The following is a 21,804-nucleotide window of genomic DNA, read 5'->3' as shown; positions in this document are numbered from 1 at the left end:
TACATGATATGTGGCGACCAAATAATGAAAAACAGTAAAATATGTTCTTCTGCTGTTGCCTGAGTATCCAAGTTCAGCCTTAAGGATCAACTTCTAATTGGCTATGTGATCTTAGCCCTGTGTGTCTCAGTTCCTCATCATTTCCTGGGACAGTAGAAATTAACTTGCTAAGCTAAGTTCTGATTCTAAACATGGTTTTTCTCTTTGAAACCAGACTAACCCACAAACAAATTCTTGCATAGTGTAGTCACTCTTGCCCTTTTCACCTGTTGGCAAAAAAAAAGCCCGTACCAACCTTTAGAGACACACTAAAAAATCTCACCCGTGACAGAAGCAAAACCTGGACCTATTTCCTAATTTTATTTGGTACAGAGGATTTTAAAAGGATTCAAGATGTGGCCTCTGGGCATAATGGAATTTGGAAATCAGCAACCAAGATATTTGGAAAAGCCCTCAATATTTGTACTTCTAAATAACGTACTTCTTAAATAGCTCATGGGTCAAAAGAATCTAAAGGGAAATTAGAAAGCATTCTGAAGTAGATGAAATGAAAACACAACAAAATTTGTGGGATGCCACTGAAGCAGAACTTAAGGGGGAAATTTATACATAAAATGCCTAGGTTGAAAAGAAGAAAAAGGGTCCCAAATCAATGACTTCAGCTTCAAGTTCATGATCTCTAAGGTCTCTTCCTGCTCTCCAGTTCTTAGTCTGTGGACCTGGAACTTGATTTTCCTTTTTAAGCCAACCTTGCATTCCTGGATAAACCTTCCTTGGTCGTGAGGTATTATCCTTTTTATATATTATTGAATTCAATTTGCTAATATTTTGTCTAGAATTTTTTTACTTCTGTGTTTGTGATAGATATTGGTCTGTAGTTTTATTTTCTTATAATATGTTTGTTTGGTTTTGGTATCAGGGTAATCCTGGCCTCACAGAATGAGGTGTTAGGAGGTATTTCCTCTGGTTTTCTGTAAGAGTTTGTGTAGTACAGTATTCATATTATTTATTCCTTAAATGTGTTGTAGAATTCACCAGTGAAGGCATCTGGGCCTAGAGTTTCTTTGTGGCAAGGTTTTCTTTCTTTTTTTTTTTTTTTTTTTTTTTTTTTGAGATGGAGTTTTGCTCTTGCTGCCCAGGCTGGAATGCAATGGTGTGATCCTGGCTCACCGCAACCTCCACCTCCCAGATTCAAGCAATTCTCCTGCCTCAGCCTCCCAAGTAGCTGGGATTACAAGCATGCGCCACCATGCCCGGCTAATTTTGTATTTTTAGTAGAGATGGGGTTTCTCCATGTTGGTCAGGCTGGGCTCGAACTCCCAACCTCAGGTGATCCACCAACCTTGGCCTCCCAAAGTGCTGGGACTACAGGCCTGAGCCACCGCGCCCAACCTGTGGGAAGATTTTCAATTAAAATTTCTATTTCTTTAGTAGACATAGAGCTATTTTTGGTTATCTACTTCTTGAATGAGCTTTAATTGTTTGTGTTTTTCAGGGAATTTGTCCATTTCATCTAAGTTACTGAATTTATAGGCACAAAGTTGTTCATAATGCTCCTTTGTTGACCTTTTCTATCTGTATTGCCTGTAGTGGTGTCACTTCTCTCATTCCTGACATTGATAATTTGTGTCTTCTCTTTTTTCCTGATCAGTTTGCCTAGAGGTTTATCAGTTTTATTCTCAAAAAAAAGTCTTTGGTTTTATTGACTTTATTTTTCTGTTTTCTGTTTCGTTGATTTGAACTTTATCACTCCCTTTCTTCTGTTTACTTTGGTTTAATTTGCTCTTTTTTTTTTCCTAGTTCTTTAAGTTCTTTAAGTCAATTTGAGACCCCTTTTCTTCTTTCAATGTAGGCATTTTATGTATAAATTTCCCCCTTAAGTTCTGCTTAAGTAGCATCCCACAAATTAATATGTTGTGTTTTCATTTCATCTACTTCAGAATACTTTCTAATTTCCCTTTTGATTTTTTTTTTCAATCCATGAGTTATTTAGAAGTATGTTGTTCAGTTATTTAGAAGTACAAATATTGAGGGCTTTTCCAAATATCTCGATTGTTGATTTCCGGTTTAATTTCATTGTGCCTAGAGACTGCACCTTGGATCCTTTTCAAATCCTTTGTACCAAATAAAATTGGGAAATAGGCCCAGGTTTTGCTTCTGTCATGGGTGAAGTTTTTCATTGTATCTCTAAAGGTTGGTACAGGCTTTTTTATTTTGCAAATAGGTGAAAAGGGCAAGAGTGACTACACTACACAAGAATTTGTTCATGGTTCAGCCTGGTGCTACAGAGAAAAACCATGTTTAGAATCAGAAGATAAGGAACTTAGCTTAGGAAGTTTATTTCTACTGCCCTGGGAAATGAAGTCTTAGAGTGTTTCTCCAGGTCATTTCATACAGCCTCTTGATTGATTTTCTATTTACAAACCGAAGGTCTCTCATTATTTGTTCAAAGAGCATGCAAAGAAAGAGATTTGCCTGTCATTGCAAATCTCGAGTTTATAACTCAGTGCACATTCACAAAGTGAATACATCTTTGCAAACTCTCACCCAGATCAGAAAGTAGCATATCACCAGCACCCCCAGAAGACCCCTCCACGGCCCCTCCCAGTTTCTACCCCTCGTCAAAGGTAATTACTAACTTGACTTCCAACACTATAAACAAGTTTTGTCTTTCCTTGAAGTTTATTTAAATGAAATCTATCTTTGTGTGTTACCCATGTTATTGTATATAGTAGCAGTTTATTTTTTATTGCTTTATAATGTTCTATTATGTGAATATGCCATCATGTATTTATCCATTTTTCTATTGATACACATTTGAGTTGTCTTCACTTACCTTCATTTGACTGTTACAAATGGGGCTACTGTGAACACTTGTCGTGTGTATCTTTTGTTGAACACATATATACATTTCAGTGGGTAACTATTGAGGCATGGAATTACTAGGTCATAAGATATGTGTTTAACTTTAATAGATAGTTTCCTAAAGTTTTCCAAAATGCTTGTAATAATACACACTTCTACCAGGATGGAGTGCAGTTGTGCCATCTTGGCTCACTGCAACCTCTGCCTCCCAGGTTCAAGTCATTCTCTTGCCTCAGCCTCTCGAGTAGCTGGGATTACAGATGTGCTCCACCACACCTAGCAAATTTTTGTATTTTTAGTAGAGACAGCGTTTTTCCATGTTAGACAGGCTGGTCTCAAACTCCTGACCTTAGGTGATCTACCCACCTCAGCCTCCCAAAGTGCTGGGATTACAAGCATGAGCCACCTCGCCCAGCTGTTGTTGTTGTTTTCTTTTTCTGGTTTATTTGTTTAATTTTAGCTGTTCAGGTGAGTATGTAGTGGTATCTTACTGTTTTAATTATCATGTCCTTAATGACAAGAGAGGTTGAGCACCTCTTCATATGCTTATTGGCCATTTGGATATCATCTTTTGTGATGTGCCTTTTCAAATCTTTTGCCTATTTCTATGTCATTTTCTTATTGACAGATGAGAGGTTTTTAAACTATAATTTGGTATAAGTCCATTAGCAGATATATACATTGCAAATACCTTCTACTTGGTGGCTAGCCTTTTCACCTAATACTGTTTTCTAATGATCAGAAGTTTCTAATTTATAGCCAATCTTGGCTTTTTGTGACTAGTCCTGTAGGAGCTCTTTGCCTGCCCTGAGGTCTTGTAGGTATTCCCCTCTGTTATCGTCTAGTAGCTATATTGTTTTACCTTTCACACTTGGGTCTGCTATCTGCCTAGGGATGATTTTTGTGGATGTGCATGAAGTGAGGTAGGGGTCAAGAGTCATATTTTCCCATATGGATTTCCTAGCCAGTGAATGCAACATCATTTGTTGAAAAGTCCACTGCTCTACTGCTAGTACTCCTGTGTCACAAACCAAGTAGTAATATATGAGTGGGTATGTTTCTGGACCCTGTTTGTTTCCATTGCACCAACAGCACACTGTCTTAATTACTGTGGGTTTATACTAAATCTTGACTTCTGATAGTAAAAGTCTACAGCTTTGTTCTTCAAGACTGCCTTGATAGGCTTTAATTACATCTCAATATACCTTTAAAAAAAAAAGACTGTCAACTATTTTGGGGTGTTTGTATTTCCATATAAATTTTAAAGTCAGCTTGTAAACTTTCACACTGTGCACACAAATACCTGCTAGAATTTTTCATTGGGATTGCATTGCCTCTGTAGGTCACTTTAGGGAGAATCAACGTATTTACACTATTGAGTCATCTAAATTATGAACATAGTATGTCCTTCAATTATGTAAAAGCCTTATACATCTTTTCATTAGATTCACTCCTGGATACTGCTATGGTAGATGATACTGTCTATTAAATTTTCTAATTGTTTATGATTGGTGTCTAGAAATACAATTAATTTTGTATATTGTCCTTATATTCGACAAGCTTTATGAATTCAGTTATTAGATCTCTGTCCTTCAAGTTCTTTTAAACTATAAAAGTAAACAAGTTTATTGATAAAGATAAAAGGAAAAACTCCCTCCCTCCCCAACCCCACTCTCCATATACACACATACTCTCATAGAAAATAAATAAGAATGAGGCCAGGCATGGTGGATTATGCCTATTATCCCAGCACTTTGGGAGGCCAAGGTGGGTGGATCACATGAGGCTAGAAGTTTGACACCAGCCTGGCCAATATGGCAAAACCCCGTCTCTACTAAAAATATAAAAATTAGCCAGGGGTGGTAGTGTACATTTGTAATCCCAGCTACTCAGAAGGCTGAGGCACGAAAATCACTTGAACGTGGGAGGCAGAGGTTGCATTGAGCTGAGATTGCACCACTGCACTCCAGCCTGGGCGACAGAACGAGACTCTGTTTCAAAAAAAATAAAAGAAATAATAAAATCATATCATACCTTCCCTGGGACTGTTCAGGAGAACCATGAACCACAATTAAATCTGACATTCAACCACCTGATAAATCTGATATTTACAACCACCTGTTTGACCATGACATCCTGGTACCTGAAGCATGCATTTTCCTGATGGCCAGGCACATGGACCTCAGATTTGGCTGGTCTTTAAGATGGCTTACTCTGAACGAGCCACCAAGTCCTCCAAAGGGAACTCCATTATATCAGACAGTCTGCTTTTTCATTGGGACCACACTAACACACTCTAAATATGGCAAGAAGTTCATTTAAATGTTTTCATAGGCTATGCTGACAAATGTTTTTGTAATTGTCTTGTGACTGATTTCATTCACTGGATGTACTGGGGGCTCATTCTGTGTCTGTACATGTAGATCTGCCTCGTTCTTTTTAACCCCTCCTGTGTTGTATTCAGTGATATGGGTATACCACAGATGACTTAACTGTCCCTCTATTAGTGGATGTTCCGATTATTACCTGGTTTTTACTATTCTAAACAGTGCTGTGGTGAACACCCATTTCTGTATATGTTAGTGTACTTTCATTGACTTATCTTTTATTATTATTATTATTATTATTGTAGAGCTGGTGTTTCACTGTGTTGCACTGGCTGGTCTCGAACCCCTGGCCTCAAGTGATCCTCCAGCTTCAGCCTCCCAAAGTGCTGAGATTACAGGCATGATCCACCATGCCTGGCCAAGTATATCTGTTAGATAAATTCTTAAAGTACAATTGCTGGGTCAAAGGATATAGACATTTCAATACATTTTTTTAAATCCATTTTATTTTTAAGACTTTTTTTAAGGTTAATACAGGCTTAGTATAAATAATAATTCCCATAGATATTGCTGCCCTTCTTGGTTTAAGAAAACATTGCAGATTTTTTCTCCCTAGCATAGTTTATGACCAGAAAGTAAATTATACATTTCTAGAATGTTAGTGCAAGAGGAGACTTCAGTTCCTCTTGTCTGGGTCCTTTATGTTTTTTTTTTTTTCATTAAGATATAATTCATATTCAACATAAAATTTACCATTTTATGAGGTAGGAGGATTGCTTGAGGCTAGGAATTCAAGACCAGCCTGGCAACACAGTGAGACCCCCATCTCTATTTAAAAAAAAAAAAAAAAAAAAAAGGCTGGGTGAGGTGGCTCACACCTGTAATCCCAGCACTTTGGGAGGCCAAGGCGGCCGGATCACGACATCAGGAGTTTGAGACCAGCCTGACCAACCTGGTGAAACCCTGTCTCTACTAAAAATACAAAAATTATCCAGGCATGGTGGCACATGCCTGTAATCCCAGCTACTCAGGAGGTTGAGGCAAAAGAATCACTTGAACCCAGGAGGTGGAGCTTGCAGTGAGCCAAGATCGTGCCATTGCACTCCAGCCTGGGCGACAGAGCGAGACTCCATCTCAATAAATGAATAGAGTAGAGTAGAGTAGAGAGAGTAGAGTAGAGTAGCTGGGCATGGTGGCACACACCTATAGCCCTAGCTACTTGGGAGGCTGAGTATGAGGCTGCAGTGAGCTATGATTGTGCCACAGCACTCTAGCCTAGGTGACAGAGCAAGACCCTGTCTCTCTTTTTTTTTTAAAGGACCATTTCAAAGTGTATAAGTAGGTTTTTAGTGTATTCACTATGTTGTGCAACCATCACCACACTGTAATGCCAGAACATTTCCATCACTCCAAAAAGATGACATGTACCTAATAGGTACAGCAGTCAGTCCCAATTCCTCCTTCCTTCTCATCCCCTGACAACTACTTTTTACCTGTATGAATTAGCCTGTTTTGGACATTTCATATAAGTTGTATCAAACAATATGTAGCCTTTTATGACTTATTTCTTTTACTTAATGTTTTCCAGTTCCATCCATTTTTTAGTATGTAATAGTACTTTATTCCTCTTTATGGATGAATAACATTCCATTGTTTCCTCTGTATCCATTTGTCAGTTGATAAATGGATAATTTGGATTGTTTCCATTTTTTGGATACTACAAATAAACCTGCAATGAACATTTGTGTACCAGTTTTTGTATGAACGTGTGTTTTCAGTTTTCCTGGGTATATACCTAGAAGTAGAATTGCTGCATCATATAGTAATTCTATATTCAACTTTTCTGAGGAACTTGCAAACTATTTTTCAAATCAGGTGTGTTATTTACATTTCCACTAACAATGTATGAAGGTCTCAGTTACTCCACATTTTCACCAACACTTATTTTTTGTTCTTTTTTTTCCTTTATAGATTCTTCTAATTCTAGTTCTATTTCTACTACTGCTGCCATTACTTCCTCCACTGAAGTCTTGACCCTCTGAAAGTCATACTTAAGGGTTGGAATCAACTTGTTCCAAACTCCTGTTAATACTGATGTTCCTCCCATGAATCACAAATTTTTTAATGACATCTAGAATGGTGAATCATTTCCAGAAGGTTTTCCATTTACTTTGCCCATATGCATCAGAAGAATCACTATCTATGGCAGCTACAGCCTTAATGAAATGTATTTCTTAAATAATAAGGCTTGAAAGTCAAAATAACTCCTTTATCCGTGGGCTGCAGAATGGATATTGTGTTAGCAGACATGAAAACAGCATTAATTTCCTTGCATATCTTCAGAGCTCTTGGGTGACCAGATGCATTGTCAATGAACAGTAGTAATATTTTGAAGGAACCTTTTTTTCAGAGCAGTAGGTCTCAACAGGTACTTGAAATAGTCAGCAAAACATGCTGTAAACAGATGTGCAGTCACCCACGCTTTGTTCCACTTATAGGCACAGGCAGAGTCGATTTAGCATAATTCTTAAGGGCCCTAGGATTTTTCACAATGGTAAATGTTCACTGGTTTCAACTTAAAGTCACCAGCTGCATTAGCCCCTAACAGGAGAGCCAGACTGTCCTTTGAAGCTGTGAAGCCAGACTTCTCGCTAGCTGTGAAAGTCCTATATGTGGCATCTTCTTCCAATAGAAGGCTCTTTTATCTACATTGCAAATCTATTGTTTAGTGCGGCAACCTTCATCAGTGATCTTAGCTAGATCTTCTCGCTTAGCACTACCTTCTTTTTTTTTTTTTCTTTTTGAGATGGAGTATCGCTCTGTCACCCAGGCTGGAGTGTAGTGGCGCAATCTCGGCTCACTGCAACCTCCAATTCCCTGGTTAAAGCAATTCTCCTGCCTCAGCCTCCCGAGTAGCTGGGATAACAGGCACCCGCCACCATGCCCAGCTAATTTTTGTATTTTTAGTAGAGACGGGATTTCACCATGTTGGCCAGGTTGGTCTCAAACTCCCGACCTTAAGTGATCCGCCTGCCTTGGCCTCTCAAAGTGCTGGGATTACAGGTGTGAGCCACCACACCTGGCCGGAACTTTTTCTTAATTTCATTTTCAGATTGTTCATTGCTAATATAGAGAAAGAGAATTAATTTTTATATGTTGACCTTGTATCCTTCAGCTTTGAATAAGTCATTTACAAGCTCTAATAATTTGTTTTGTTGGCACTTAAGGGTTTTCTCTCTATAATATCATGTCATCTGCAAATGTGGTTGTACTTCTTTCTCTCTAATCTGGATGTCTTTTATTTATTTTCTTGCCTAACTGCCCTGGCTAGAACCTCTAGTACATTGTTGAATAGAAATGGCAAGCGTAGACATCCTTGTCTTGGTCCTGACTTTAGGCAGAAGGCATCCAGTCTTCTATCATTGAGCATGTTAGTAGTAGGTTTTTCATAGGTGCCTCCCTTTATTAGGTTGGTGACAGTCTGTTCCTAGTCTGTTGAGTATTTTTATCCTGAAAGGGTGTTGGAGTTTATCAAATGCTCTTCTGCCCCATTGATTTTACAGATGAAGTGGCAGGTCATATTTCCCTGCCCTTGGATGGGTGTGTTTCTGTTACCTTTCACACCAAGTTCCAGTCTTGACTATGCCTAGCCTGGGGGTCCCCACTGTGCATGTGGCACCTTGGTTGAGGTGCAGCTTGAAGTAGGCACCCCAGGACGTGTCACTCTCCTGCCTTTGCTCCCTCACCCCACTCACCGCACAGTGCTGGCCTTCTATGGAGTTGAGGCATGGAGAGTGTGGGTCATAACCTTTCTGGTCATCTTCTGCTGAGAAAACAGAATATTTTCTGCTCTCTTTAATAATGCTGTTGTCCATTGTCCCCTGCTCCTGGTGCACGTGGGTGAAAAGGCAGCTGCTCTTATAACTGCCCTGTCCCATTGCCCACTCTCTTTTTTTTCTTGAGACAGAGTTCCACTCTCTCACCCAGGCTGGAGTGCAGTGATGTGATCTTGGCTAACTGCAATCTCTGCCTTCTGGATTCAAGCGGTTATCGTGCCTCAGCCTCCTGAGTAGCTGGAAGTATAGGTGCACGCCACCATGCCCGGCTAAATTTTGTATTTTTAGTAGAGATGGGGTTTCACCATGTTGGCCAGGATGGTCTCGATCTCTTGACCTCATGATCCACCCGTCTCAGCCTCCCAAAGTGATGGGATTACAGGCGTGAGCCACCGCGCCCTCGTTGCACACATCTAAAGACACTACTTTGTGGGGCCTGCTGCAGGCACACTAAGCGCTGTTGATGGCAGTTAGTCTCCCAGCCCTGGAGCCTGTCACACCTGCCGGTCTGCCCCTGCCCTGCTTCATCTCTGGGAATGTGTGCACCTGCATTCGGCCCTTCTGTAGCCAACTCTGGTTATCTCCAGATAAAGCTGTCTCCCTTTGAGCTCTCTGCAGAGCAGCCGCTTGAGAAAGCGCTTCTCTTGGCTTCCTGTTAGCAGTGCTTGTTGGGTGGATGACCCCTCTGAGGGATCCAACTGGGGCCAGGGAAAGATTCCTTGGCTTTTCAGTAGCTATAATTAATTCCAGTCATAGTAAAGAAATATCTGAGTATGTGGCATAAAATGAAAACAATTTACTTTTTCCTCTCCTTCCTTTGGTCTATTTAGGAATTTAATTCAAGTCTAGGGGATTATTCACTTTAAGAACTATTTTAGGGAGTAAAAATCCCAGTGAAGTTCTTTTTTGTTTTCATTCCTCATTGGTTTAAATAAAACCTGAAATCACCTTGTCCTATGGAGGTGGACCTGTCTGTTTTTCTTGCCATACCTGAGATCATCAGAAATGGCATTGCAAGGGCAGGAGGTCCTAAAAGGGAAGTTCTTAACTCTTCTTTTTGCCATCAGTTTGTCCTCATTTTGCCATCACTTTTCTTTTTGCCATCAGTTTGTCCTCTTTTTCTTTGCAGGTTGTGTCAACGCTGCTCATAAATATAATCCCAGAGGACCACATCCCACTGAACTTATCTGGAAAGGCGAAAATCACTGGGAAAGCCTGGGTGAAGGAAACTCCTCGATCCGTTCCTGGCTTTAACCCTGACTCGATGTGCGAGTCCCAGGTATGGCTGTCCAGCTGTGTGGAGTGGAGACTTCTAGTGCCGGGGTTAGACAGATTGGTTTAAAATGGAGACAGAAATGGAGGCACATTCACAGAAGCAGGTACTGTGCCTCAGAAGAGAAGGCGTTGTGCCTGAGTTGTTGTCAGCTTTTGTTTCGGAAGGGTTCAGGGTTGATCTCCAGCATTTGACCCTCAGTATAAAACTCACAAGCAGTTTAGGAAAGCTTCTCCTGCAAAAAGGCTGAAATTGATTATGCAAAGCTTGGCAATGCAGAGTCCTGTTTTCCTGCAAGACTGCTGAGTGGCTTCAGATAATCAAACTGGTATAAGGCTCCACACCCATAACTCTGAGCCTTAGGAACCAGGCCACAAAAGGACAGGCCCAGGGCAGAGAGAGCTGTCCACACTGAAGATTTCCAAGGCCTCTGCATGTTCCCAGTGGAGAAGTCTTTCCAGGCCCCCAGTGCACAACGCGTTATCACAGAGTCTTAATGGACAGTCCATTCACCCCGAAACTGCCAGGTTTCTTTTCCTTTATAGACCATATGCTTCATGGGTGCTACATTACGCAGCTAGAAATGCTTTTCTGTTCATTAGCTTCTAATGCTTTAACCCAGCTTTGAGAAAGTACACATTCAGGCCTTAGAGGATGTTAGGAAGATTTTGTTGTTACTCCCAGGGTTCAAGGGAGGAAGTACCTAGGCCAGAGGCACAGTTACGAGGTTGAAGCTCGCCACTTCAGGAAGACCTTGTAACTAGAAGCTCCCATGTCCGGTCACAGGTCTTTGTCAAGGATACTTGACCTCAAGTCAGCGTGGGTGGGTGTGGGGAGTAGGGGATATAAAACACATGGAGAGAGAGTGTGAGTGTGTGTGTATGTCTCTGTGGTATAGTCCCTGAAGGGAAGAAAAAAAACTGCTGGTCTGTATATGCTTGCCTCTGTTATATTAAAAAATAATAATAATATATATAGAGAGAAAATACTAGTTTCACATATGCCCTACTTTTTTCCATGAAGGATTCTAGGCGGGTCACAGTAGAGGGACTTGCACAACGAGGGTCACACATGGAGTAGAGGGTGGGTGACTCCCACAGGAGGCATCACCCGCAGCCCGGCATTGGTGGCCTTGCCCTCTGCAGGTGATCATCAGGGAAGGGGAGCTGCTCTGCGGAGTGCTGGACAAGGCGCACTATGGGAGCTCCGCCTACGGCCTGGTCCACTGCTGCTATGAGATCTATGGAGGCGAGACCAGCGGCAAGGTTCTAACCTGCCTGGCCCGCCTCTTCACCGCCTACCTGCAGCTCTACAGAGGCTTCACCTTGGGTAAGTGCCGGGCTCGCTGCCCTGGGGCAGTGACCCGTCAGCGCAGCCGCCTGGCCATCTCCCAGGCCCAGGACAGAGAGAGCCGTCCACACTGAAGATTTCCAAGGCTTCTGTGTGTTCCCAGTGGAGAAGTCTTTCCAGGTCCCCAGTGCACCACGCTTTATTACAGGGTCTTAACAGATAGTCCATTCACCCCCAAAACTGCCAGGTTTCTTTTCCTTTGTAGACCATATGCTTCATGTGTGCTACATTACACAGCTAGAAATTCTTTTCTGTGTCCTCTCGGGAAGGAGCTGGGAAGTAACCAGGCTCCTCCTACAAAGGCGCCCTCACTTGGCCACCCCTCTCCTCCACAGCCAGTGCTTATTCCCGTTCACAGTGCAGAATGGCACCCTCGTGCCCATTTCCATTCTGTTTCTTTCCTAACCCCTCCCTTTACAGGTTTCTGTCCTCGGACTGATTTCTCATACTCTTACAACCCCATTCCCTGCTACACAAGTGCCCTTTCAGAATTCTCAGGGCCCATCCCACTCCACAGAGGGGTTTCCCTTTTGTCAGAACTGCCCACTGCCGGCTGGGTGCAGTGGATCACACCTGTAATCCCAGCACTTTGGGAGGCCAAGGTGGGTGGATCACTTGAGCCCAGGAGTTCGAGACCAGCCTGGCCAACATGGAGAAACCCCGTCTCTACTAAAAATACAAAAATTAGCCAGGTGTCGTGGCAAGCACCTGTAATCCCAGCTACTCAGGAGGCTGAGGCGGGAGAATTGCTTGAACCCAGGAGGCAGAGGTTGCAGTGAGCCGAGATTGTGCCATTGCACTCCAGCCTGGGTGATGGAGCCAAAGAACTGCCCACGCCTTCCCACTGCGGTGGGGCCATCAGCGCTCTTGGAAACACTATGCTGGGCAAACCTGTCGGGGTGATCCTAAGACACGAAGAGGAACTACCTTGTTTGCACCCCAGAAATGAGTGCACGCTGTTTTAGGAAAATGGCTTTGATAAAGAGGCTTCACCTTGGGTGAGTGCTGGGCTCACTGCCCTGGGGCTCCCCTGAAGCAGTCACCTGGCCCCTTTTAGTGTGGGCTTGAGATCAGATCTGTCCAAAGGCTCAGCCCCTGGCCAGGCTTATGGAGGACACTGCACCTCCATGTACACAGAGCAGGGTCCAGCCCTTCCACGCTGTTCGCGTTAGGGGGACGCGAGATGCTGCGTGTCAGGCATGCACCGCAGTGTGCATAGGCGTTGTCTGGTTCATGGTGGAAGTAAGGCTCCTTTGCTTCACAGACCCACTCGTGTGCAGACAGAGTGGGAGTCTCAGCGTAGGGCCTGTGGACCTGCAGCTGCTGCAGCTGGAGTTTGTTCATTGGCCCACACTGGGGCCTGCATTATACATTTTATTCTATTTTAATTGTATCATATATTTAATCATGGAAAGGTTAAAAAAAAAAAAGCATACATGAAGATAATTTAAAATCACCCAGCATGCATTTGTCAGAGATAACCACTAATAGTAATTTGATGTTTGTTTTTCTAGACTTTTCTAGTACAAATACATTTGGAAAAAGTGGGATCCTACGCTACATACTCTACTTCCCTTACCCACCCACCCACCAAATGTCCAAATGTATTTATAAATGTCCTTTGGGATCAGCTAATACAAGTCTACATCCTCATGTCTGGTAATTACAGATTATTCCATTCTTATGGATATATTGTAGTTTATTTAACCAGTTCCTATAATTAAACATTTAGGCTGCGTCCAGATTTTCACATTATTGCTGGGATGAGCATCCTTGAACAAACATCTTGGCTTATATGTCCCATTATTTTACCAGGATAAGGATTATAAGTTAAGTCTGTTTGGCAGCTGAAACTCACCTTCCCCCATCTTAATTCCACTAAGAGACCTGAGCCACTTCTGGGCTCAAGGTCCAAGGTCACCCACTTCCAGTTGGGAACCAGACTAGAGTACCTTCCAGGATAACCAAAGAAAGTGAAGCATGATGACTACACCTCATGAAATGTATATTTCAGTTTCAAATGGTGACCTAGAATAAGCACAAGGATTTCTGCTAACTAGAAAAAATCAGAGCGCTTTTGAAACGAAAATAGAGGAAGATCCCACACCCAGCTCATGATGAGGAACAAACTTAACAAAGGTGCCAGGCTTTAGCTCTGCTTAGTGCATGGTACAAAGAGCAGTTGGTCCCTTGAGTGTGAAGATGATCCAGAGGCTCAGGGCTGCAGAAGGAAGCAGGGCCAAGCTGGGAGTGGGGCTACAAGGGGGAACAGGCGAGAGATTGACTTCACTCCAGCCCGTCTCAGCTAGCGGGGTCCATAAAGGGCACAGCTAGTTGGCCTGTAGCTGAACCCATGGGAATGCCCACTTTCACGGTGTGGCCTGCTTACAGAGGAACTGTTTCTTTCCCCTTCTGTTCACACATGTTCTTAGAAGCCCTCCAGGACCTTGCGTTGGGAATTCCAAATATTTCAGCCCCATCTTTTGAACAGTACACCTGCTGTTTTCTTTCCCACTCAGATCTTGGCTGAGGGACTCTTGAGTCCAGTAGCACTTACAGTTGCAGAAAAGAACTAGTTTTGGCCAGGTGCAGTGGCTCACTCCTGCAATCCCAGCACTTTGGGAGGCCGAGGCAGGTGGATCATGAGGTCAAGAGATCGAGACCATCCTGGCCAACGTGGTGAAACCCTGTCTGTACTAAAAATACAAAAATTAGCTGGGTGTGGTGGCGTGCACCTGTAGTCCCAGCTACTGGAGAGGCTGAGGCAGGAGAATCACTTGAACCTGGGAGGCAGCGGTTGCAGTGAGCCGAGATCACACCACTGCACTCCAGCCTGGGCAACAGAGCAAGACTCAGTCTCAAAAAACAAAAACAAAAAAAAAAACACTAGTTTGATCAAGAGTTGATGTGGAAAGACCTACTGCTGCCCAGGATGAGGAATTCCTCAACCCTTTGAGCCAGAAGGGCAGGCTTCACTGAAGTGACCCAGGCTGTCATCCTCCTGAAGCAATGCTGAGGGACCTGTGGTGGTGGTCCTTGTCACCCAGGCTCGGGTGTGTCTGTGTGTGTGCCTACACAGGTATACTCAGCTATATAGGGTGGCCCCTGTGACATGTGACTTCTGGGACCCCAGACTGAGATGTTCTCTCTCTCTTTTTCCCTGAGCTTATCTTTTCATCCAAAACCTCTTCTTCACCTTCAGCCTATTCATCCAACACATGTCTATGGAGTGGAGATAGTATAGCTGGTGGCTAAGAACATGAATTTGGGACCCAGGCCTGGGTTTACTTTCTACCCATACGACCATGGGAAAGTAGCCCAATTTTGAGCCTGAGTTTTGTCATTTGTAAAATGGGGATTATAAGGTTTGGGCTCTGGTAAGCACCTAAGAGATGGTGGCAATCTGTTAATAATGATGTTAATATCATCTTCCTTACTCAGGTATTTCCTGCATCTGTGGCACTGGACTCTGTGCTCTGGCCTTACTGAGTTTAGTCTGGTGGGAGAAATCAGGCCTGAGGTCGCCTACAAGCTTGTCTGTTTCACTTCACAGGCGTGGAAGACATTTTGGTGAAGCCAAAGGCAGATGTCAAGAGGCAACGTATCATTGAAGAATCCACCCACTGCGGGCCCCAGGTAAGGAGGGACTTCGAGGCCGTGGCCTGCCCTAGAGGGGTGAAGTGTGTGCTGAGTCAAAACCCACACTCTCGTCGTTTGGCCTCAGCCTCCGCTGTGTTTCTGTTCTCATTCTAGGCTGTCAGGGCTGCATTAAACCTGCCAGAAGCCGCATCATATGATGAGGTCCGAGGAAAATGGCAGGATGCCCATCTGGGCAAGGACCAGAGGGATTTTAACATGATTGATCTGAAGTTCAAGGAGGAAGTGAACCATTACAGCAATGAGATTAACAAGGTTAGCCCAGCATTGCATGCATTTATCCCCACCACTATGAATGCTGATTTTTAAAAAAATTACATTTTGATTCTCACCTGGGCCCTACAGAGCACCTTGGCTGTTGAACAGCTGACTAGGTGAGATGCGAGGTGGGATGGGTAGAACTCGTTGTTTTGAAGGGCCCAGGGCTTTGTTCCCTGCCCCAGTTAGGGTCTATACAGGCCTCAGAATAGTGCCAAGAGAGAATGCTTTGTGCTGTTTTTCTTTATAAATGTTTTTATTTTGGGGTGACTGCATTAAAGGGGCTGAATGGGGCCACCAGGGGTGAATAAGCAGGGTGAGGGACCCGGATCGCCCTGGCTGCTCATGCAGCGGAGCCAGGAGTGAAGGCTCAGGTTCCAGTCCTGGCTCTGCCTTGAACTTGCTGTGTGACCTTGGGCAAGTGAGATAACCAGTCCCTGCCTTGGTTTCCTCACCTGGAAGTGGGGCTGTGAGGGGCACCACCTCACAGGGCTGCAGAGAGGCTTCAGGAGCTACTAGTACACAATGCCAAGCCAGTTCCTGGGCAGTTGAGAAAGGAGAGGGGAAATCTCTGCATGAGCTGAAACCACAGCCTGCTTTTCTCTGCCTTTCTGCCCCAGAGCCAGGGTTCTCCATCCTGCTGCTTGGAGGAGCTGGCCTGGCCCTCACCCTGCCTCCTGGGCCCTGGGGCCCAGCCTGAGGAGTGGGGAGGAGGAGGCAATGCCAACACTCATCAAAAGTCAAAGTTCGTCTGTAGTGCTCTCTTGCCTGGCTTTTAGCATCCCTTAGGCTGCTGAGAAGACCGACTTCTCATGGGGACAGGTTCCATCCTTGAGGGGTTTTGTTGACAGGAGCTTTCCTAGCACCTCCCTGAGAACCAGGAAGCTCAGCTTCTAGGGCTGACTGGGGATGCTAGGAGTAGGGAAGTTGTCTTCAGATGCATCTCAGAATGGTTTCTTGTCCCTCCAGTTGCCCTCTTCCCACCACCTCCGCCCACCCAGGCTCTGCCTCTCCTGTGTTGGGCCAAGTCTGTGGAATTCCAGGCACAGGCTAGAAGCCCCAGACTCAGAGCCCCCTTCTCAGCATCTCCCCAGGATCCCCCTGAAGGGGCATGCTTGGTTCTGCTGGCTCTTGAGCCAAGACAGAGCTTCCTACATGGGGCTTGGGTGGCATGTTCGTAAATGTGACATGATGCGGATGTTGGTATTCACGCTGGGAGAGGACCCAGGCCAGGCTCTGCTGGGCGAATCAAGGGCATCACCTTAAATTTTATTCTTCTCCAGCTTCTTTTTAGAATCACGAACTGGATCTGCCAGCCCCTCTACTTCTCCTTTTCCTTCTCCCTTTTTGCTGCTCTTTGGCCAATGAATGAAACCTCGGGGATCCTGGCAGAGGAAGTCCAGCGAGTGCAGGGCAGGGAGCACCTGTTTGACCTCTCAGGGGTTCCAGGGAAGGATTAATGCTGAATGAGGCTTTCTCTTACCTCGAGTGGGATTTGGTACTTAGGTCTGAATAAATATTCTGGCTGTATTGCTTCTGCTTCCTGGATTTACATCCTGATTCTGGGATTTTTAAAGAAGGTGAAGTCACTGACCACTGTGCTGATTTAATCTGCAGGCATGCATGCCTTTTGGCCTACACAGACAGTTCCCAGAGAACAGCCTGCAGATGATGGTGCAGTCGGGAGCCAAAGGTTCAACTGTGAACACGATGCAGGTATGTGCAGAGGCGGGTTGGCAGCTTTACAGGTGTCAGCAAAGGCAGGTGGGGGATAGCAGGAGGTGGTTTCAGTTTGTTCCCTATAAAACATGACAAGTAAAAAGAGGAAAGCGTGTAGAAATCACTACAGGAGCTAACCACTGTTAACATGCCAATGTTAAAGGCAGATGTAGTTATGAATATGCAGATGGGATATGTATAACGTAGATATATATTACAAATTTACAAACTGTACTATTACATATATTCACGTTATATAGATAAATTATGTATACTCACACAATTTTTACGTAATTTTGCATGATTGTTTCTTTCTTTCTTTCGTTTTTTTTCGAGATGAAGTCTTGCTCTGTCACCGGGCTGGAGTGCAGTGGCGCAATCTTGGCTCACTGCAACCTCTGCCTCCCAGGTTCCAGAGATTCTCCTGCCTCTCGGGATTACAGGCATGCGCCACCATGCCTGGCTAATTTTTGTATTTTTAGTAGAGACGGGGTTTCACCATGTTGGCCAGGATGCTTTCAATCTCTTGACCTCGTGATCTGCCCACCTCGACCTCCCAAAGTGCTGGGATTACAGGCATGAGCCACCGCACCTGGCCGATCTTTTCATAATATTAAATTATAAACATAAACATTGTCCTAGAGATTTCTTAACCTTAAACCTTGGTGACCTTGAGAGGGTCTAAAGGCCCACCCCATTGTCTGTTGAGTGTGACAACAGAAAGGCCGAAAGCCGTTAGGAAATCCCCTGACTACATCGAAACCTAGATATACTGCTCTCCTCCAACACGCCAAGAGTATTAACAGGCAGCTTTCTAAGCAAATAGCTCAATAGCTTGAGTTCCCATTTTGTTGTTGTTGTTGTTGTGTTTTGTTTTGTTTTGTTTTTAATTGAAAATAAGACAGAGTCTCCCTGTATTGCCCAGGGTGGTCTCAAACTTCTGGGCTCAAGGGATCCTCCTGCCTCAGCCCCGCAAAGTGCTAAGATTGTAGATGTGAGCCACCACACCCGGCCCTGAGTTCCCTTTTGGCTCTAGAATGTGAGGATCGCAATAAATGGCTGTTTCCTGCAGGCCTCTCTTTCCCCATCAGGACCCTCCAGTCCTTTACAGGTATAACATGAGATGGTTCTGAGACATGGCTCTTTTTATAGAGAGCACCCATTTTCAACTGACCCCAAATGTGAAAATCCAGATCAGTCAACCAAAGGAAGGTATTTTTTTTTTCTTAAAATGAAGGCTTCCTGGTTTGTTTAGAAATGTAGGTTAGCCTTCAAGAACTCGGTTTCCATGCAGCTTTTCTTCAAGGTCAGATTATACTTTCCCTGCTGGGACAAAGCACTGTTAAACACACATGTGGATCTTCAGTTTCCTGTGGATTTCCTGTCCTCCAGATCTCGTGCCTGCTGGGCCAGATTGAACTGGAAGGTCGGAGACCCCCGCTGATGGCGTCTGGCAAGTCACTGCCCTGCTTTGAGCCTTATGAGTTCACCCCCAGGGCTGGTGGCTTTGTCACTGGCAGGTTCCTCACCGGCATCAAACCTCCTGTATGTATTTTGGTTTTTCCATTTAGCTTTTTCCCTCATTTCTAGGCTTAATTGTAGGTGAACTATGACTGCCCTACAGGGTAGGGCAGAAGACACTGGGGGCTATTGTAGCTGTCGAGGTCAAAAAGTCCTAGGAGATCAGGGAAGGGAGTGGCCTGTCTGGTCAGGAAAGGCTGCTGGAGGTGTTGGCCTGAGCCCTTCAGGAAGCGCACTGTCCTCACTGTCACCTTTGGGACCTGGGTCCCATTCTCTGCAGGAGTTCTTCTTCCACTGCATGGCAGGACGAGAGGGCCTGGTGGACACTGCTGTGAAAACCAGCCGCTCAGGCTATCTCCAAAGGTAAAATGTATCTGCCGTGCCCCTTGAGGTAGAGTGCCAGGGCCCTTCCTGCCATCATCTTTCACATTATATCAGCAGCTCATTTAAGATTCCTTGGATGAAAAAACTTTTGGAAAGTTTCCATGAATGGCCTGAGACAGAAAGCAGCAAACACTGTTCCCCTTCGCAGGATCGGTAGAGCATGAGCTCAGAGGCTTATACCAAGGGCTCTGTGTTCTGAGGGTCTGCCATTCCCTGGGGGAAGCTATGGCTGTGGGAGAAGGTCTTGGGCAGTGGCAAGCTTATCTTGCTTCCTAGAAGGCTCAGCTGCCAAGACAGTAGTGACTAACATTGAGCTCTGTCCCCACAGCTTGGGGTGGAGGGACAGTGACTGCTGGGAAGCCCACTGTTAGGGTGGCAGGAGGGGAAACCTAGGCAGAGTGTCCGGAGAGGTAAGCAAAGGGGCTAGGACCAGGGCAGAGAGCAGAAGAAGTTGAGATAAAACTGAGGAGAAAGGCCGCCAGTGGAGGGATTCACATCAGCATGTGGTTCCCAATACCCCTTAGTGTCCTTGGCAATCCCTGGGCTGACCAAGTTTGAGAATCCTTGACAGCTCCCCTGCTTCGCCCGTCTTTTGGTTCTAAGGACACTGGTCTCTGGGGAGCTCTGCATTGTGGGAGAGTGTAGGGGCAGACAGTCATCTCAGCAGCTGGGGCTAGATGGGAGCCCAGGTCTAGGGGTGGCAGCCAAGCTGCTCAGTAACATGGCTGCAGCCTCCTCCTCCTAGAAAACCATCAGGAAATGCAGCCCCTGGCTGGGGGACACTGGAGCAAGCCCAGACCCCGGGGCATTGGATCTAGCCTGTTCTGAAGTCTTGTTTGCCTGCAGAACAGGAGCCCCCCTTTCCCTCCCCTCCACTGCCCCCAACCCTCATCAGAGGCTGCCCTGGGGAGGTGATGGGCCGGCGGGGACTGAGCCGATGGTGTCCTTACAGGTGCATCATCAAGCACCTAGAGGGGCTGGTCGTGCAGTATGATCTCACGGTCCGTGACAGTGACGGCAGTGTGGTGCAGTTCCTGTATGGGGAGGATGGCCTGGACATCCCCAAGACACAGTTCCTGCAGCCCAAGCAGTTCCCCTTCCTGGCCAGCAACTACGAGGTAGTGTGCTAGATCCCGGAGCCTGGGGGCCGAGCAGTAGGCCTCCCCCACCGAGGTTAGAGAACTGGAATGCGCTGAGCTTTGCAACCCAGTCCAAGTGGCCATTGGAAAGTAGAGTGGGAAGGGTTTATAAGACACCGGTCAGTGCCCTGAAACACTTGACAATTTCAAAGCCTGTGAACTTTCATCACTTGAGGTGGCTGGAGGGCACGAGCACCTCTGGAATAATACCTACTCTTTGGGGCCATTTGCCGTGTGCTGGGCCCTCAGCTAAAGCACACTATCAATACTATCCGTTTTCCTCCTCACTGCAACCCAGGGAAGTAGGCATTACTCTGCCGATTTTGCAGCTGAGGCAACTGAGTATCAAAGCATAAGTAAACAGTCGGTGAGTGGCAGAGCCAGCATTTGAACATGGGCCCGTCAGACACAAACTCATGATTTTCATTGTATACCTTAATGCCCTTGTAGTGACCATCACTGTTGACTGGGCAGTCACCCCATTTGCAGATAGGGAAACTGAAACCGATGTGACCTGTCTAAGGTCATCAAGCTGATGGTAGAATTGAGGGTTGTGCTCTGGTGCTGAGTCCTTTCCATCCTGGTTCCTATCCCTGAGCTTGGCCATCACTCTTCCCCTCTTCCTTTCTTCCCAGAAACTCCCTTGTGCTCCTGGAGGGGCTCTGAGTGTGCTGCTTTCTTTCCTGTGTCTCCCTCTGCTCCCAAGACCATTGGTTCCCAAATCTGGTTTGCACAAAGTGAGGGCCCTGATTAACAATGGATGCTCAGCCTCTCTGAGAGTGGTGCTCGGCCCCATCATGAGGGCTCCACACCAGCCACCTGGGTCCCCTGAATTTGTGCTCCATGGCCCTCTTGTCACGCCCTCATCTCTTTGATCTCATGTGTGTGATTTGTTTGTTTGTTTTTTTGTTTGTTTGTTTAGGTGATAATGAAATCACAGCATCTCCATGAAGTTTTATCCAGAGCAGATCCCAAAAAAGCTCTCCACCACTTCAGAGCTATCAAAAAATGGCAAAGCAAGCACCCCAACACCCTGCTGAGAAGAGGCGCCTTCTTGAGTTATTCCCAGAAAATTCAGGAAGCTGTGAAAGCCCTGAAACTTGAGAGTGAAAACCGCAATGGCCGCAGCCCTGGGACTCAGGAGGTGATGCAGGGAGGTGGTGTCCTTAATGTCCAGCACGTCCAGGCTTAGTCAGTGGGTGAGGGATGAGGGGCTGTTTTCCTAAGAGAAGGTAGAATCATGAACTCCAGCTTTGTTCACCGTCAGTCAGAACAGAATGGCTCTCAAATGGGAATGTAAGGTGGGGACTCTTAACAAGGGTGTAGGCAGGGTTTGGGGGGACTAACTGGGGCCTGTGACTTCGGGGTTCCCCGCGATCCCAGGTGTGAAGGAATGGGGAGCAGTCATGAGAAACGGAGAGGACGACTATGTGCTAGGGCCACTGGACAGAGCCCTGGGTAGAGACCCACTAGAG

General features: G+C 45.3%; 1 protein-coding gene across 1 annotated transcript in view, besides 1 other annotated feature; it reads left to right on the top strand.

Moving 5' to 3' along the window:
* Positions 1 to 21,804, top strand: part of POLR1A (RNA polymerase I subunit A) — an 85,671-nt gene that overhangs the window by 41,440 nt on the left and 22,427 nt on the right. The window contains exons 15-23 of the mRNA NM_015425.6: positions 10,158 to 10,307; positions 11,447 to 11,630; positions 15,205 to 15,287; positions 15,405 to 15,563; positions 17,184 to 17,282; positions 18,678 to 18,830; positions 19,087 to 19,169; positions 20,143 to 20,308; positions 21,252 to 21,473. Coding sequence (NP_056240.2) covers positions 10,158 to 10,307; positions 11,447 to 11,630; positions 15,205 to 15,287; positions 15,405 to 15,563; positions 17,184 to 17,282; positions 18,678 to 18,830; positions 19,087 to 19,169; positions 20,143 to 20,308; positions 21,252 to 21,473 — 1,299 coding nt within the window. The remainder of the gene's footprint in view (positions 1 to 10,157; positions 10,308 to 11,446; positions 11,631 to 15,204; positions 15,288 to 15,404; positions 15,564 to 17,183; positions 17,283 to 18,677; positions 18,831 to 19,086; positions 19,170 to 20,142; positions 20,309 to 21,251; positions 21,474 to 21,804) is intronic.
* Positions 18,017 to 19,216: an enhancer, noted in NCBI's record as "BRD4-independent group 4 enhancer chr2:86272354-86273553 (GRCh37/hg19 assembly coordinates)". NCBI's record gives its function as "activates an origin of replication core promoter dependent on BRD2, P300/CBP, MED14 and CDK7 cofactors, and independent of BRD4, by STARR-seq in HCT116 cells {active_cell/tissue: HCT116}" and the evidence as "EXISTENCE:reporter gene assay evidence [ECO:0000049][PMID:35650434]".

The sequence above is a fragment of the Homo sapiens genome, chromosome 2 (genome assembly GCF_000001405.40).
Source record: "Homo sapiens chromosome 2, GRCh38.p14 Primary Assembly".
NCBI classification, from domain to species: Eukaryota; Metazoa; Chordata; class Mammalia; order Primates; family Hominidae; genus Homo; species Homo sapiens.
Note: the sequence above shows the minus strand (reverse complement) of the source record. Positions and strands in the feature narration are given on the sequence as shown.